The 16,923-nt window shown below is 48.5% G+C and overlaps 2 protein-coding genes and 1 long non-coding RNA gene across 6 annotated transcripts in view, besides 1 other annotated feature; 1 reads left to right on the top strand and 2 right to left on the bottom strand.

Moving 5' to 3' along the window:
* MYH10 (myosin heavy chain 10) overlaps nucleotides 1-12,204 on the top strand; it is a 156,514-nt gene extending 144,310 nt beyond the window's left edge. For 3 of the 4 annotated variants that reach the window (NM_005964.5, NM_001256095.2, NM_001256012.3), the window contains 7 exons: nucleotides 2,150-2,278; nucleotides 5,006-5,094; nucleotides 5,891-6,014; nucleotides 6,098-6,306; nucleotides 7,970-8,078; nucleotides 9,368-9,540; nucleotides 10,468-12,192. In NM_005964.5, coding sequence (NP_005955.3) covers nucleotides 2,150-2,278; nucleotides 5,006-5,094; nucleotides 5,891-6,014; nucleotides 6,098-6,306; nucleotides 7,970-8,078; nucleotides 9,368-9,540; nucleotides 10,468-10,612 — 978 coding nt within the window. In that variant the 3' untranslated portion in view covers nucleotides 10,613-12,192. Of the gene's footprint in view, nucleotides 1-2,149; nucleotides 2,279-5,005; nucleotides 5,095-5,890; nucleotides 6,015-6,097; nucleotides 6,307-7,969; nucleotides 8,079-9,367; nucleotides 9,541-10,467 lie in introns of all 4 variants that reach the window. The other variant, NM_001375266.1, reaches the window with a different exon arrangement.
* Nucleotides 53-5,006, bottom strand: LOC107987245 (uncharacterized). The gene is made up of 2 exons (XR_001752780.3): nucleotides 4,228-5,006; nucleotides 53-2,846 (listed from the first exon to the last, which is right to left on the bottom strand). It is a non-coding gene; the product is annotated as an uncharacterized LOC107987245 (long non-coding RNA).
* Nucleotides 9,311-9,605: a silencer, noted in NCBI's record as "tiled region #9669; HepG2 Repressive non-DNase unmatched - State 17:Gen3', and K562 Repressive non-DNase unmatched - State 18:Pol2". NCBI's record gives its function as "represses a minimal TATA promoter and a strong SV40 promoter by Sharpr-MPRA in HepG2 and K562 cells {active_cell/tissue: HepG2 | K562}" and the evidence as "EXISTENCE:reporter gene assay evidence [ECO:0000049][PMID:27701403]".
* NDEL1 (nudE neurodevelopment protein 1 like 1) overlaps nucleotides 12,088-16,923 on the bottom strand; it is a 61,198-nt gene continuing 56,362 nt past the window's right edge. Inside the window, exon 10 of the mRNA XM_017025183.2 lies at nucleotides 12,088-15,044. Within this exon, the coding sequence (XP_016880672.1) occupies nucleotides 14,855-15,044 (190 nt within the window). The 3' untranslated portion in view covers nucleotides 12,088-14,854. The remainder of the gene's footprint in view (nucleotides 15,045-16,923) is intronic.

The raw sequence follows: 16,923 nt of genomic DNA, 5'->3' as shown, positions 1-16,923 counted from the left end.
AATTATAAAAGTTATTAAGCTAATTAATTACAAAGAATATAAACTATAATACTGTGATTTTATTTAACAGCTTTATTGAAATATAGTTCACATACCACACAATTCGCCAGTTTAGTGTTTTCAGTGTTTTTTAGTTATTCATAGGCTTATTCAGCCATCACCACTATCATATTTGGGGCATTTTGGTCCCTCCCAAAAGAATCCTCCACCCATTAGCTGTCACTCCCCATTCCCTGTATCCCTGCTGCATCCTGCGTTAATCAACTACTAATCTTTCAGTCTCTATAAATTTGCCTTTGTTCCATATTTCATATCAGTGGAATCATACAATATGTGGCCTTTTGTGACTGGTTTTCCACTTAGCATGATGTTTTCAAAGTTCATCCATGTAGCCACATGAACAAGTACCGCACTCCTTTTTATTACTGAGTAACACTCTACTGTGTGGATACATCTACCACATTTTACTCGTCTATCCCCCAGTTGGACATTTGGGTTGCTTCCATTTTTTTGACTTCTGAATAATGCCTCTATGAACATTCATATGCATTTGTGTGGACATGTGCTTTCAGTTTTCTCAGAAATATACCTAGGAGTGGAATTGAGCTGGGTTATATGGTACCTCTGTGTTTAACTTTGAGGAACTGCCAAACTGTTTCCCACAGTCACTGCAGTTTTACGTTCCTACCAGCTATGTATGAGGGTTCCAATTTCTCCACATCTTGTCAACATTTGTTATTGTCCATCTTTTGATTGTAACCATCTTAGTGGGTGTGAAGTGACATTTCATTGTGGCTTTTATTTTTATTTCTCTAATGACTAATGAGGTTAAACAGCTGAGCTCTCTTTTAATTATTGAGTTGAAACAATTCTGTATTCTGGATATAAATTCTTTGAGTAAATGATTTCCACACCTGCCTTAGCTTAATTTCTGCCACCAAAAAAAAAAAAAAAAAAAGCCAGCTTGGGTTTTGATAGTTTATTGTGTTGATGTGTAAATCAATTTGGAGAGTATTGCTATTTTAACAATATTAAGTCTTCTGGTCTACAAACATGGATAATCTTTCCATTTATTTAGATCTTTTTTATTTTTTTCAGTGACGTTTTGTAGTTCTTGGTATACAAGTCTTTCACTTTTTTTCTTTATACCTAAGTTTATATTCTTTTGATGGTATTATAAATGTAATTGCTTTATTTTGAATGTTCATAGTTGGTGTATAGAAATATAATTGATGTTTGTATGTTGATCTTGTATCCCGCAATCTTGCTAAACTCATCAATTAGTTCTTGTGGGCTTTCTTTTCTTTTACTGTCCATATTACCAGCAGTTCTAATTCTTTCAGTGTCTTCCTTAAGATTTTCTATATACAATATCAGATCATCTGCAAATTGAACTAGTTTTACTTCTTCCTTTCCAATCTGGATATCTTTTATTTCTTTATCTTGCCTAATTAATTACCCTGGCTAGAATCTCTATTGCATTGTTAAGTAGAAGTGGCAAGATCAGACATCCTTGTCTTGTTGCTCATCTTTTAGAGGGAAAGCATTTGGTCATTGATCCTTAAGTATGATATTGGCTGTCAGTTTTTCATTGATGCCCTTAATCAGAGTTGAAGAAATTTCCTTCTGTTCATAGCTTGTTGAGCATTTTTATATTGAAAGGGTATTAGATTTTGTCAAGTGCTTCTTCAGCATTTATTGTGATGATCATATGGTTACATTAATTCATTTTTGGTTGTCAAACCAACCTTGCATTCCTCAGATAGATCCTGCTTGGTCATGGTGTATAATCCTTTTTACATGTTGCCAGATTCAGTTTGCTACTATTCTGTTGAAGATTTTTGCATTTGTATTCATAAGGGATTTCATTTTGATCTGTAGTTTTCTTACGATATCCTTGTCATTCCCATATACTTTTATATTTACAATGAATGTATATTACTTTTATAATCTAGAAAAAAAATACCATGTTTACAAGCTAAGAATGGGGCCAGGCACCGCAGCTCACACTTGTAATCAGGAGCAATGCTTGAGGCCTTGAGTTTGAGATCAGCCTGGGCAACACAGCCAGGGCTCATCTCTAAAAAAATTTTATTTTAACTAAAACTAAGAATGTAAACCACCCCAAAACCTTCTTATTTAATCTTAGGCTCAGATGAAGGATTACCAACGTGAATTAGAAGAAGCTCGTGCATCCAGAGATGAGATTTTTGCTCAATCCAAAGAGAGTGAAAAGAAATTGAAGAGTCTGGAAGCAGAAATCCTTCAATTGCAGGAGGTTGGTTTGTTACTTATCCATTTGTTCAACAAATATATTTGCCCTTGAAATTTCTCCAAGATCAAAAAAAAGTTAATATATTTGTAGCCCACTGTAATGTCAGTATACATTTTTGTTTTTTATTTTTTTAAGTATCCATTTTTAATATGGTCCTCAACCTTCTTGTTGCTTCAGTTTGGAAACAGAAAGTTATCACTTCGACACTGCTCACATATATTCCTCTACCTGGCAAAAGGCAAAGGAGCTGATGAGTAGCTTTTCAGGCCACCTTCTTGGCCTGTTCCCCTGTGCAGGAAAGGGAAGTGTTGATAAGCACAAGAACTGTGTAACTCCAACCTTGGTGATGCAAAATTGCCTTGTTTTTACACAGAAGCACTACTCATGTGATAACTTAAAAGGAGAGAAGTTTGTTTCATTGAATTCCTGTTATTCCTTCATTTATCTTTCTTGTAAGTTCTCATGAAGCAGAGACTGATAAAGTGTTGCATATAGGAACTGTAACAGTGCAAGGCACACTTAAATATACACATTACCGTATAAATGATGGATAATCAACATTTCTTCAAACCTGAAAAGGTAAGTTAAATGTTATTATCAGTTAATATGAAAAAACTCCCAATACAAACACCTATAAATATTGGATAAAATATTAGCAAAGGCAGAGTTGAGCTTGCAAGAAAGGAGGACGGCTCTCTAGGTGTCAGGAATGAACAAGGAACTCAAAACCAGATCAGTAAACACGGAGCCGACCCTGAGAGAGAACCTGAGAGCCAGCTTCAAGAGGTTTTCGTCCTGCTGTCCTCTATCTCACCATTTTTTGCTCCTTTTTTTTCTGACTTCTTGAGTTGGACACTTAGCTCATCAGCTCTCAAGCTTCTTGTCTGATATGTTTATAAAAGACTGTAAATTCCCCTCTAAGATCGGTTTTCATCATGTTCCACAAATTTTGATGTGGAGTAATTTCATTGTCATGTAATTCTAAATTTTTCTAATTTCTATTATGGTTTCTTCTTCATCCTGTGAATAATTTAAGCTTGCGGTTTAAATTTCCAAATGTATGGCATTTGCTTGTTTTTTAAGTTGATTTCTAGTTTTATCACATTGTGGTCAGAGAATGCTGAGAAAGAGCTCTGGGACCTAGAACACGTTAGTTTTTATAAGTGTTCCGTGGGTACTTAAAAATGATGCATGTTCATCAATGAAGTAGATGTGTAAGCTCTATGTATCCATCATGGAGTTGATTGGTGAGATCCCCAAATGCTCATTTCCCCAAAGGCGATGTGGCTGTTGGAGCCTGCCTCCTAGAGAGCGCTCCTGGGCCATTACCCAAGTGTCCAAGAGGCATTCTCTGTACCACACTGTTTTTTCTGAAAGTGTTTCTTTCAGACTCTCAGGCAAGGCCTGACTCACACTGCATTAGGGAGAAGAGACTGAGCTGGAAAGCTGGCCCTGCCCTTCCCCCTATTTCTGACACTTTTCCTTCCCTCAAACACCTCCGTTCATCTGGCTTAGAGGCCCCGGGGTCCCTTCCTTTCTCCCGTGGGTCCCTCAGTCTGCCTAGAGCCCCACCCCCAAGCCAGTGGACAGTGAGTGTTTCATAGGCCCAAGAAGACAAAACACCAGAGGCCAGATGGTAGAGCTGTCTGGAGTCAGTGGCCCTGGGATCAGGCCTGGAACATTCCGTCAGCTGCCTCTCTTTCCTTCCTGACTCCCACCCTGCCCTGTGTGCCAGGATGTGCTAGAACCCAGGCCTGTCAGAGGACCTTCAGCCTACACTCATGTAAGGCAGGTGCACGTGCTGGAGCAGACAGAGGAGCTCCCGTGCAGCCCTGCTCCTAAGACACCTTCAAGGTGTGCTCTTGCCAAATGTGGCATCTTTTGGAAGGGGCAGCTGGTGGGAAGAGCCCTGGACAGGGAGTAGGAACCCTGACTTTTTGCTGCTGACTAACCTTGGGACTTTGGGCCAGTATCTTCATCCAGGTGGGCCTCAGTTTCCTCATTTATAAGATAAATGCACCCTTGACTCCTTTCCATGGCAAATCATCCTTCCAAAGAAGTTTGTGGAAAAGCAGCCATCAGGCAGTTCCTCCCGTGGGCTGGCAGGCACAGGGCTGTCCCCATTGTCCAGTCCTCTGAGAGCCCCCTGTGGAGCCACAGTCCCCTTCAAGAAAGAGGCCTTGCCCACCTTAGAGGCCCAGCTCTGCAAACACTTGAGCCCCTGCGGAGGCCCCCACCTGCCTCCTCTCCATGGGAGCATTGATCCTTGTTGCGGCACAGCTGCCTGGATCCGCACTGGTCTGTGCAGCCAGCGTCCTTGATCTCAAACTGTTTATGTGAAAGATACTTCAGGGCCATCAGTTGGTATAGCTCATGTTTCTTAGGGTTCAGGGTTTATATAAAGTTCATGCTCAGTTTATATTAAGAAGCACCAGCTTTCCAAGAAGGGCAGGAACATAGCCACCTCTTACGTTGGAGGTGACAGCAAAGCCCTTATGGCAATGAAGACTTTCCTCTGGACATCTGTGTCAGATGCTGACACCACACACCACCTGGCTGGCCTGCACCGAGCAGATTTTCTTGACAGTTTAATTTCTCAAATCTAAATGACAGCTTGAGGTGCAGGTAAACAGTGACAGGAGCAAGGTCGCTGTAGCTCCAGGCACTGTCAGATTCCACAGGTGAGGAAACTATTCACAGCCAGAGCTTAACGCAGTCTCCACTGCTTAGGAACTTGCCTCATCTGAGCGAGCCCGCCGACACGCCGAGCAGGAGAGAGATGAGCTGGCGGACGAGATCACCAACAGCGCCTCTGGCAAGTGAGTCTCCCACGGCCGGGGGTGGGTTCTTCGCCCTCAGGCACGCGCACTGCTGAGAAGGCTGGAGGTGTCCACACACCTGGCATCAGCGGGTGGTTTGCTCCTCCCTCGCTGGGCCTGGGCTGCCTCAGCCATGGTACCCCGTGCCAGTCCTGCCGAGCCCTGCACACCGCAGGTGGGAGCCGTGGTGTGCACTAACGGGCACTGCACCCGTGCCAGTCCTGCTGAGCCCTGCACACCGCAGGGGGGAGCCGTGGGGTGCGCCAACGGGCACTGCAGGCCTTCACTTTCCAGCTAGCTTTGGCAAGCAGGTTCCTCAGATAGGACCTTTCTCTGAATTCATTTTTTCGTTAAAAGTCATTACTGAACTGAACGTCCATCATGCGCCTTTTTGAGCATGCCATCATGAGTAGTTAGAATTTGATTCTCAGTGCATTGGAAACCACTGAAGAGTTTCAGCGGTGGGGAGGCTGGGGTCGTGCTTGCGTTTTGAAAGCGACTCTGGCTGTTGTCTGTGGAGAACAGCTGGAGAGAGGCAGGCAGGGCAGCGGGAGGCCACCCAGCAGTCCAGGTGAGAGATGACAGGCCTGCATCTGGGTGGTGGCAGCGGGGGAGGGTGTTTGGAAGTGTCATCAGTGGGACCTACTGATGGATTTGGGGATGAGTGCAGGGGAAAGAGAAAATTCAGGATGGCTGCTCAGGTTTCCAGCAACAGGGTGGGTGGAGGAGCCTTCCCTGAGGCTCCTGTGCTGTGCTGAGCTGGGATTGAACCGTCCCCTCCTCCTCTCCCCGCCAGGTCCGCGCTGCTGGATGAGAAGCGGCGTCTGGAAGCTCGGATCGCACAGCTGGAGGAGGAGCTGGAAGAGGAGCAGAGCAACATGGAGCTGCTCAACGACCGCTTCCGCAAGACCACTCTACAGGTGGCCCATGCAGGAGCCCGTCACCCAGGGAGGGCTGTGCCACCCCTCAGGCACAAGTGACTAAACTCCTCTCTCCTCTCTAGGTGGACACACTGAACGCCGAGCTAGCAGCCGAGCGCAGCGCCGCCCAGAAGAGTGACAATGCACGCCAGCAACTGGAGCGGCAGAACAAGGAGCTGAAGGCCAAGCTGCAGGAACTCGAGGGTGCTGTCAAGTCTAAGTTCAAGGCCACCATCTCAGCCCTGGAGGCCAAGATTGGGCAGCTGGAGGAGCAGCTTGAGCAGGAAGCCAAGTAAGAGGTTTTTGCTACCGTAAACCAAAACTTACCAACTAGGCTCAGTCAGAGACAAAACAGGCATGCCCCTTTCGGGGGGGCTCCCCACCACGTGGGCAGAGAACACATATAACCAGAGTGGGACACAGAAGTTGGTGTGAGCTGTGAGAGAAGAGCTGTGAGCATTCAGAGCCTGGGAGGACAGACGGCATCCGTGAACAGTCAGGGAAGGCTGGGCTTTAGGACGGCGCCCCGTGATTTCCTAGGCACCCTGAGTTTGCATCTCCTACCCAAAGTCGATTTCCCAAGCGTGTGGCAGCCCATGAAATGCTAATTTGCTGCCAGAGAACAAATGCAGTATGACACAAATCAGAGCCTTTCTTCTCCCCATAGAAGGGATTGCTTAACAGCTTTCATATTGTTGTATTAAAGCATTCTGAAATTGATGAGAAATTGTACAGTACAGCTGCTGGCAGGCATATTACAAAGCTATTAGGTCATAGCGCCCAGAGCCAGGGCAGACCTTCAGATTCACCCTCTTGCTGGGGAGCTTGGAGCCCAGAAATGCAGGGCTCGCGGCCAGAACCCTGCATCCTCCCCAGCCTCTCGTGCCAGGACTTCCCACTCCATTCTTTGGACTCCAGTGGGCTGAAGCAAACAATTAAGGGTTTGTTTCTAGTTGGAATTAACATAAACACCCTTTCAGCTGACTGTCTCTATCTACTTTTGCATAATATTTGTTAAGCAACAAAATAACTTTTTCTGTCTTCCATGGAGTCCTCCAAATAAGTTACCTCTCCTTCATATGGGACGACGTAGATGCATCTGGAAACATGGATTTGTTTCACCTCTAACCAAAGAGGGAGTGTAGGGGGTTTGTTTTTGGGTTTTTTTTCAATGTGAGCTGCCAAAGCCCTCTACATCACAATAGGTAATTAGTAAATTATCAAGTGAAACAATCACTTAATAAATTGGGTTGTTTCTCAGGCTAAAAGTTTAGGTGATTAAACTAAGGATGGTGTCTTCAAAAGTCTATGTTCAGTATAACTGACAGGTAGATTGTATGTAACATTTGCTCTTTAGATCACTGTGTACAGGCCGGGTGCGCTGGCTCACGGCTGTAATCCCAGCACTTTGGGAGGCCAGGGCGGGCAGATCACCTGAGGTGAGGAGTTCGAGACCAGCCTGGCCAACGTAGTAAAACCCCGTCTCTGCTAAAAATACACAAATTAGCCCAGCGTGGTGGTGCATGCCTTGTAATCCCAGCTACTCAGGAGGCTGAGGCAGGAGAATTGCTTGAACCCAGGAGGCGGAGGTTGCAGCGAGCAGAGATGGCGCCACTGCACCCCAGCCTGGGCGACAGAGCAAGACTGCATCTCAAAAACAAACAAAGTAAGATAACTGAGTACAATGATGAATACCTGTGTACAGTAATTAACACCTACACGTGCAGGAATAATGCACTTATTCTACCTGTCACTATTGAGGAATACATTAAAGGCAATTCTGATTTTGACCAGAAGGAAAGGTTTCAGCACATTAGTCATGAATTCTGGACAGAGAGGTCCATAATGCCTCCACCATGTGTCATCTTCCCAAAGAAAAGGGGCTTTAAAAAATATTTTTTCCCACACAAAATACCATTTCAAGAATTTCAAAACTACTGTGACCACTTTCACAGGGAACGAGCAGCCGCCAACAAATTAGTCCGTCGCACTGAGAAGAAGCTGAAAGAAATCTTCATGCAGGTTGAGGATGAGCGTCGACACGCGGACCAGTATAAAGAGCAGGTACGCGAGGAAGTGCCTCCCTGGGAAGCGCGTGAGCAAAGGAACTGGTGGAGAATGAGCTGGTGGCACAACTGACCAGTGGAATTCAGGGCCCTCCCGATTCTGATGTTTCAGCTAACGTGGGCTGTTCCATGTTCCTGGTGGGCACTCCCAGTACCCGAGACACAGGAGGGCGGGGAGAGCAGGTCAGGAAGCAAGTTCAGTGAGGCCTGGACTGAACTGTAAAGCTCCTGCTTCCTCCACTAGAATGTGTGCTTCGTGAGTACAGGGATTTCTGCCTGTTTTGCTCCCTGTTATCTCCCTAATGCCTAGTATAGTTTCTGGATATTGCTGGCAGTCATGAGATACTGGCTGGGTGTAGGGTGGGCACAGGAGATACTGAATAGAAAGTGAAGGGAAGACAAAGGTACTGCACGCTGCACCCGAGTGAGCTTCAGCGTCTGCATCCAGGCCCCCTTTTCTAAGTACACAGGGAATGTTCCGCAGGACTTTGAACTGTGGGTCAGGCCTGCCCTGATTGCAGCGTGGGCAGCTATACCCTCCCTCCCGCTCCCTGCCCTCTGCCTGGTGAGACTTCACACTGCAGACACTGGCCAGAAAGGTGGATGGATCTGAGGATTTCACTGCCTTTGGCCCGAACCCTCCCCAACTTCATTCATTCAGTCAGGCAACCTGGCCTTCCCTTCCCACCCCCACCCTTGGGGCCTAGCAACACGGAGCACAGTTGAGGGTGGTGTGCGCTGGACCCACGAAGCACTGACCAGTGCCTGTGTGGCTCAGGAATGAAGGGTCCAAAAGGGAGGCTCTTAGTTCTGTGGCATGTCATCCCAGGGTGGCTTTCTGCTTGAATCCAAGTCTAGTATCTGAGATGCCCATCCTTGAAAGGAGGTGTAAAGATGCATTGTACCATCTTCTGGGCTGGGGATTGTCCCACATTGCTGGTTCTTCCACGTTTTGCAAGAATAGCAATTCCCTTTCAGTCCCCTAGGTCACGTGTGTGAAGACAGTAAACGCTGTCATTTTTCTGCAGAAAACTCACTGGTAAAAACAGAGTCTTGAGTACTTTTTCATTTCTTTTGGCCTAGTGTGCTTTGTAGATGCTAGCTTTGCTGAGAGCGGCAGGCCGGTTACAGAGCCTCCGACCAGCCCCCAGGCACGCGTGTACATCCGTGTACACGCGTGCTCACAAGGGTAACAGGCAGAGCCCCACACTGCCACGCTCGGGGTACAGAGAGGCCGACACTGGATTCACCAGTTTGGTTTGTTTTGGTTCATGTACCCTCCCCAAGATGGAGAAGGCCAACGCTCGGATGAAGCAGCTTAAACGCCAGCTGGAGGAAGCAGAAGAAGAAGCGACGCGTGCCAACGCATCTCGGCGTAAACTCCAGCGGGAACTGGATGATGCCACCGAGGCCAACGAGGGCCTGAGCCGCGAGGTCAGCACCCTGAAGAACCGGCTGAGGTGAGCAGGCATGCGGCCCCGAGCTGACAGGCAGCTGCTTTGTGGGTTAGCTTAGGCTCGGGGTGCAGCTGGTCAGAGGAAGTTTACTTAGATCCATACCCAGTGACCCATTCTTTCTCCCGAACCACTTCATTTAAGATTTCTGACCTTTATAGTCGTCCTTGGGGAGAATAAAAGAGGAGGCGGCCCTATTCATTGCCAGTCACTAGAGGACCACACTAATCCACCACACCAGGCTGGAGCTGGGTCAGGCATCCATCCCTGTCCAGATATCCATTAGTGAAGTGAGCTCCCAGCCTCTCTTAAAAAGCAGGGCAGGAGCTCCTCCTGGGACCTGGTGCCATCAGCCCTCCTCAGCACCGTCCTCCTCACCACAATGGATCTGCTCTGTACCAGTGAGAGGGCAGAGCGTGAGAGAGCTACAGCTGAAGTCTCTGCCCCAGAAGACCAGGTCGGCGGAGGTTTCAGCACATCTGGCCAATGGGCAGATTTGGTGCATACCCTGCTTTTATACAGCCATCAAACTAAGCATGGTTTCTACATTTTTAAATGGTTATAAAAACGCCGAAACAAAGAATATGCAACAGAGTCCCTATGTGGCCCACTTTGCTATCTGGCTGATTCCCTGGTTAGCAGGTAGAGCTTGGCCTTAATCCGTCTTCCTTACCATTTCCATCACACAGTCCTAGGCTGAATCAAGTCCTCCCCAGTTCTCCAAGGACCCTGCTTCGCGTACTCTGCAGGCAGGGTTGTGGGAGAGGCAGAAAAGCACGCAGTCCTTCCCCATCGTACCGCCACCCCCACAAGGTCGTGTGTCCGAGGAGGGGGTGCAAGGGGAAGGTTCCGTGGCATTGAGTGGTTGAACATATTGACAGCCATGTGCTCCTGTCTGTTTACCCACACACATCTGCTTCCTGTGTTCTCCAGGCGGGGTGGCCCCATCAGCTTCTCTTCCAGCCGATCTGGCCGGCGCCAGCTGCACCTTGAAGGAGCTTCCCTGGAGCTCTCCGACGATGACACAGAAAGTAAGACCAGTGATGTCAACGAGACGCAGCCACCCCAGTCAGAGTAAAGTTGCAGGAAGCCAGAGGAGGCAATACAGTGGGACAGTTAGGAATGCACCCGGGGCCTCCTGCAGATTTCGGAAATTGGCAAGCTACGGGATTCCTTCCTGAAAGATCAACTGTGTCTTAAGGCTCTCCAGCCTATGCATACTGTATCCTGCTTCAGACTTAGGTACAATTGCTCCCCTTTTTATATATAGACACACACAGGACACATATATTAAACAGATTGTTTCATCATTGCATCTATTTTCCATATAGTCATCAAGAGACCATTTTATAAAACATGGTAAGACCCTTTTTAAAACAAACTCCAGGCCCTTGGTTGCGGGTCGCTGGGTTATTGGGGCAGCGCCGTGGTCGTCACTCAGTCGCTCTGCATGCTCTCTGTCATACAGACAGGTAACCTAGTTCTGTGTTCACGTGGCCCCCGACTCCTCAGCCACATCAAGTCTCCTAGACCACTGTGGACTCTAAACTGCACTTGTCTCTCTCATTTCCTTCAAATAATGATCAATGCTATTTCAGTGAGCAAACTGTGAAAGGGGCTTTGGAAAGAGTAGGAGGGGTGGGCTGGATCGGAAGCAACACCCATTTGGGGTTACCATGTCCATCCCCCAAGGGGGGCCCTGCCCCTCGAGTCGATGGTGTCCCGCATCTACTCATGTGAACTGGCCTTGGCGAGGGCTGGTCTGTGCATAGAAGGGATAGTGGCCACACTGCAGCTGAGGCCCCAGGTGGCAGCCATGGATCATGTAGACTTCCAGATGGTCTCCCGAACCGCCTGGCTCTGCCGGCGCCCTCCTCACGTCAGGAGCAAGCAGCCGTGGACCCCTAAGCCGAGCTGGTGGAAGGCCCCTCCCCATCGCCAGCCGGGCCCTCATGCTGACCTTGCAAATTCAGCCGCTGCTTTGAGCCCAAAATGGGAATATTGGTTTTGTGTCCGAGGCTTGTTCCAAGTTTGTCAATGAGGTTTATGGAGCCTCCAGAACAGATGCCATCTTCCTGAATGTTGACATGCCAGTGGGTGTGACTCCTTCATTTTTCCTTCTCCCTTCCCTTTGGACAGTGTTACAGTGAACACTTAGCATCCTGTTTTTGGTTGGTAGTTAAGCAAACTGACATTACGGAAAGTGCCTTAGACACTACAGTACTAAGACAATGTTGAATATATCATTCGCCTCTATAACAATTTAATGTATTCAGTTTTGACTGTGCTTCATATCATGTACCTCTCTAGTCAAAGTGGTATTACAGACATTCAGTGACAATGAATCAGTGTTAATTCTAAATCCTTGATCCTCTGCAATGTGCTTGAAAACACAAACCTTTTGGGTTAAAAGCTTTAACATCTATTAGGAAGAATTTGTCCTGTGGGTTTGGAATCTTGGATTTTCCCCCTTTATGAACTGTACTGGCTGTTGACCACCAGACACCTGACCGCAAATATCTTTTCTTGTATTCCCATATTTCTAGACAATGATTTTTGTAAGACAATAAATTTATTCATTATAGATATTTGCGCCTGCTCTGTTTACTTGAAGAAAAAAGCACCCGTGGAGAATAAAGAGACCTCAATAAACAAGAATAATCATGTGAACGTGGAATCTGTTTTCTCACCTTCTGTTCTCGATTTCCCATCTGTGATCTGACTGGAGGGTGGGTGCTACACACCAACTTCAAATGATGGCGCCAGGCCCTTTTTGCTGAGGGCGCTGTCTCCCAGGTCAGACGACAGAATAATTCTCAGGCCAGTCCTGGCTCCAACTCTTGTTCCTGCCAGTGCCTCACAGGATGCACACGCACTAGGAAGGGAAAGACCACCCAAAGGCAGGAGCTGGCCCACCTGTCAAGGGAGTGATTTAGGAGGGCTCTGGTCACCAGCCAATGAAGCTCACTGCTGGGTTAGGACATTTTCAGGGGTCCAGGACATTTCAGGCTGCATTTTCAGGCAGACACGCATTGAAGATGCTTTTGGAGGATTCAGTGATGAGGCCAAGGGCAGCCTCTCTAGTGCGGGCCAACTAGGATGAGAGAAATACTAGGGCAGCACAGAATCAAACAGAGAATGCCGATTTCTTGTTCCATAATATTCTCCGGTTAGACTGGTTCTGGGGGTAAGGGGTCTATGACTAGGCTTCTTGGCAGCAGTAGAAACGTGTGAAATGGGCCGAAGTGCCCTCTTCCTCCTGTGCCACTACCATAGGAGAGGAAAGGTGAGTCACAGGTATGGTGCTTCAGCAGGGCTCCCACCCCCACATCCAGTATCTTATCCAAGAGTGTACAGAATTCAGAGGCTTGTTTTTCTCAAAAAGTAAGAACTCTGGGCTGGGCATGGTGCTCACGCCTGTAATCCCGGCACTTTGGGAGGCCAAAGCAGGTGGATCATTTGAGGTCAGAAGTTCGAATCCAGCCTGGCCAACATGGTGAAACACCGTCTCTACTAAAAATACAAAAATTAGCCAGGTGTGGTGGTGCACACCTGTAGTCCCAGCTACTTGGGGGGCTGAGGCATGAAAATCACTTGAACCTGGGAGGTGGAGGCTGCAGTGAGCCGAGATCACACCACTGCACTCCAGCCTGGGTGACAGAGAAGGGCGACTCCGTCTCAAAAAAAAAAAGAATTCTTCCCTACTGGCTGATCTAACTGGTGTTCACGTCACAGTTTCCCAACTACTCAGCGTGCCAGGAGAAACAATCTGTGTGAACCAATTCCAGGCCCTGATTCTGCAAAGATACTATTTAATAACTAAAAGGGTCCCTTCTTGACTGACCCGACACTCCAGACCTAAGGAAAGGTAGTTTATACAACCTTCGTTGGGCATTCAGAGCACAAGGAAGACAGTTTATGGCAGCTGGGCTTTGAGTGTATCAGAAGATCAAGCTGGTCAGCTTCTACCCAGCAGCAGTGTGGTTCCCGGTGAGGAGGAACTCAGGCAAGACTTGGGAAAGGCTTGCTCTTTCGTTGAGCCTGGGTCTAGACGACATGAGGCAGTGCCGGGGCTTCGTTTAGGGCCATAAGCGCTCTGCCCTTGCCACATCATAGATGCCAGTTTTTGTTGTTGTTTTTATTTATTTTCTTTAATGCAGCCATTCCAGTGGACTATTTTTAAACTGCTTTGGAAGGATAACAACTTGTTTTTTTTCCCGAGACAGAGTCGCGCTCTGTCTCCCAGGCTGGAGCGCAGTGGCATGCTCTCAGCTCACTTCACCCTCCACCTCCGGGTTCAAGCCATTCTCTGCTTCAGCCCCCCGAGTAGCTGGGATTACAGGCGCCCGCCACCAGGCCTGGCTAATTTTTGTATTTTCTTTTTTTGTAGAAACGGGGTTTCACCATGTTGGACAGGTTGGTTTTGAACTCCCGGCCTCACGTGATTCGTCCCGCCTTGGCCTCCCTCCCAAAGTGCTGGGATTACAGGTGTGAGCCACCATGCCCAGCTAACACCTATTTCTAGCCTGCTGGCTTGAGGGGACACTTCCAATTCCTGATGGCATCAGGCTATAGATTTGTCACATCTTTGTGTCACCAATTTTTCCTGTCCCAGGAAACCTCAGCTAAGATGAACTGTGAGCCGTAAGGCCAAGCTGTTCTAGCCAGCCCTTTCTATGGCTCTGGGTATGACCGACCCAGGGCCCTTCTCCCCAGAGGCCGGTGCTGCTGAGGGACAGACATGTCCACATCAAGACTGGAGAAGAGAGCTCACTGTTGTCAAACCACACCTTCCTGCTCTTCCTTCACTCCCAAAAAAAGAAAAAAGCCAGAACAGGCTCCAGGTTGGAATCGTTAGGAAGTGGTGAGGACTCCTCTCCCTTGAGTTCCAGGCAGGTCTCCCCTTGCGAGGCCCCACCCACACAGGCTTCCCAGTCTCTGGGAGGAATGCAAGAAAGGACCTCTCCCTTTCCACCTTTCGGGGACAACATCTGCACCAAGAGCTTTCCCAGATGTTGAGTTTTTGCCAAAATGCCGTCCTAAGTCAGCTGTCAGGACCAGACAGAGAAGTCCACTTCCTTCTGTAGGCACCTGCCATTTGGGAATCAAGCAGATTGTGAAGTACCTCATTCTTGTTGGGAATCTTATATGAAGCTATTGAAAGGGTGTAAGTCCATCATGCTACTGCTTTTCAAAGGCATTCACTATAGCTACAGAGCCTGTAAGCTGGGCAGAAAGTGTGGCCCCGGACTTCAACCCCTACTGAGACTAAGCAGCCCAGTAACAGGCTCCATTCCGGCTGACTGGATGTCACAAAGCCTTATTCGAGAGGTAACGTGACATAACCGACAAACTGGGTCTCACAGATCCCCATGCAGAGCGCTGCCTCTCCCAAGTATGTGCCATACTGCACAGGTGCCAAGGCACCCCCAGCTTCACGTGGGCCACATCTCCTGTATCTCACAATCACTGTCAGTAGGCGCAGCTGTGATGGTGTCATTGCCCGACTCCTGGAAAGATCGATAAAGCACAGCATCAAAATTTACAGAATGGGAAATACAAAATTAGCCGGGCATGGCGGCACATGCCTGTAATCCCAGCTACTTGGGAGGCTGAGGCAGGAGAATCGCTTGAACCTCGGAGGCAGAGCTTGCAGTGAGCCAAGATCACGCCATTGCACTCCAGCCTGGGCAACAAGAGCGAAAATCTGTCTCAAAAAAACAACAACAACAAAAAACTTGCAGAATGAGCATCAGCAGCTTAGAAGGAAATTGTGGAGCCTCACTGGAATCTGCTTTTCAGGAATGCTGTATCACCAACACACGAGACAAGGCACAACACTGTTACAGTCGGGGAGGGGGCAGAGCTGGCTACCGGGTGCTCCCTAAAGCCGTGGCTCCACCCAGGATGCCTCCCCTCTCCCAGAAGTGCCAGCTTCCACCTTGGCTCTCAGGAGATGCGCACTAGTGGCATCTCCGGGGCAGCTGCCAAGAAAGGCGGAGTCAGCATGCGCAGCGGGCACAGGAGGAAGGCTACGTGAACCGATTCCTCCTGCTACAAAGGCTGTGCCGGCCCCGCCGCTCGTCATTTCCAAGCCTTCAAAACCTGCTCCTCTCCCAAGGCACAGGACAGAGCGTGGGAGTCAAGGCCAGTGAGGCCTCAAGTCTGGAAAGGCACAGCAGAAAAAGACTGGGCTCGTGCCCAAGCCTGGCTTCACCATGAATTAGCCGTGCAAGCTCAGTCAACTCAAACCCGGGCCCATTGTCCTTTCTGCCACCTGAGGTCAGAGCACTGTGTCCTGTCCTCAGGTCACCTCTGTATAGTTCTTGCAGGCCTCACTGTGACTCAAGGTCCCAGCTTTGGCTCCTGGGTCTCAGCTGCGTTGGTCAGGGATCATTTCTGGCCACTCTGGGCTGAAGGAAGTGGAGCGCTGGCTACTACTCTCTTGTAAGACAATATTTGGGAGCAAGGGATAGGACTGAGCGGCTGAAATGAAAACACCTGGAGGCAAGAAGCTGTCCACCACCCGGGAGATCAGCCCCACCAGCAGGGAGGAACGGCACACAGATGCGGCTCAAGGAAGGCTCATTCCCGAGGTTTCATGGAGAGCCATGCAAAACCAGGTACCCGGCAGCTCCAGGAAGAAAACCCACACAGAGGCACTCTACCCAGAGGCACTCTTCAGCTAGACAGGCAAACGGTACGTAGCGGCATTCATGCCAGGTGGCAGATGCTCTCTCTGACCATGTCCAAAGTAGCATCTTACACCCCACAGTCCAAACAGAAAGCGGGAGATGAGCCAGGGAGTTGGCTGCTTTCTTCACGGGGGATCATTTGCCAAGAGCTGCTAGAGCCACAAAAAAAACGTCACTAAGGCCAGCCACGGTGGCCCACACCTGTAATCCCAGAACTTTGGGAGGCCGAGGCGGGTGGATTACCTGAGGTCAAGAGTTCAAGACCAGCCTGAACAACATGGTGAAACCCTGCCTCTACTAAAAATACAAAAAAAAAAAAAAAAAATTAGCCAGGCATGGCGGCGGGCGCCAGCTGCTTAGGAGGCTGAGTCAGGAGAATCGCTGGAACCCGGGAGGTGGAGGTTACAGTGAGCCAAGATCACGCCACTGCACTCCAGCCTGGGCGACAGAGCGAGACTCCATCTCAAAAAAAAAAAAAAAAGTCACTAAAGTTGGTATATAACCCCCCACTGCTAAATTAGACTGGCTAGGACAAAAATTTTTTTAATTTTAAAGTGAAAGTCTCTTCCCAAAGGGATCAGAAATAAGCCCAACAGCACGCTGCTACCCCTCCAGGGACCTAGCCCAGGCTCTTCTGGACCCACAGCAGTGGTGACATGCAGTGGATGACACGTGGGCCCCTGTAGCCAGGGCC

Source organism: Homo sapiens, chromosome 17 (genome assembly GCF_000001405.40).
Source record: "Homo sapiens chromosome 17, GRCh38.p14 Primary Assembly".
Classification (NCBI taxonomy): domain Eukaryota; kingdom Metazoa; phylum Chordata; class Mammalia; order Primates; family Hominidae; genus Homo; species Homo sapiens.
Note: the sequence above shows the minus strand (reverse complement) of the source record. Positions and strands in the feature narration are given on the sequence as shown.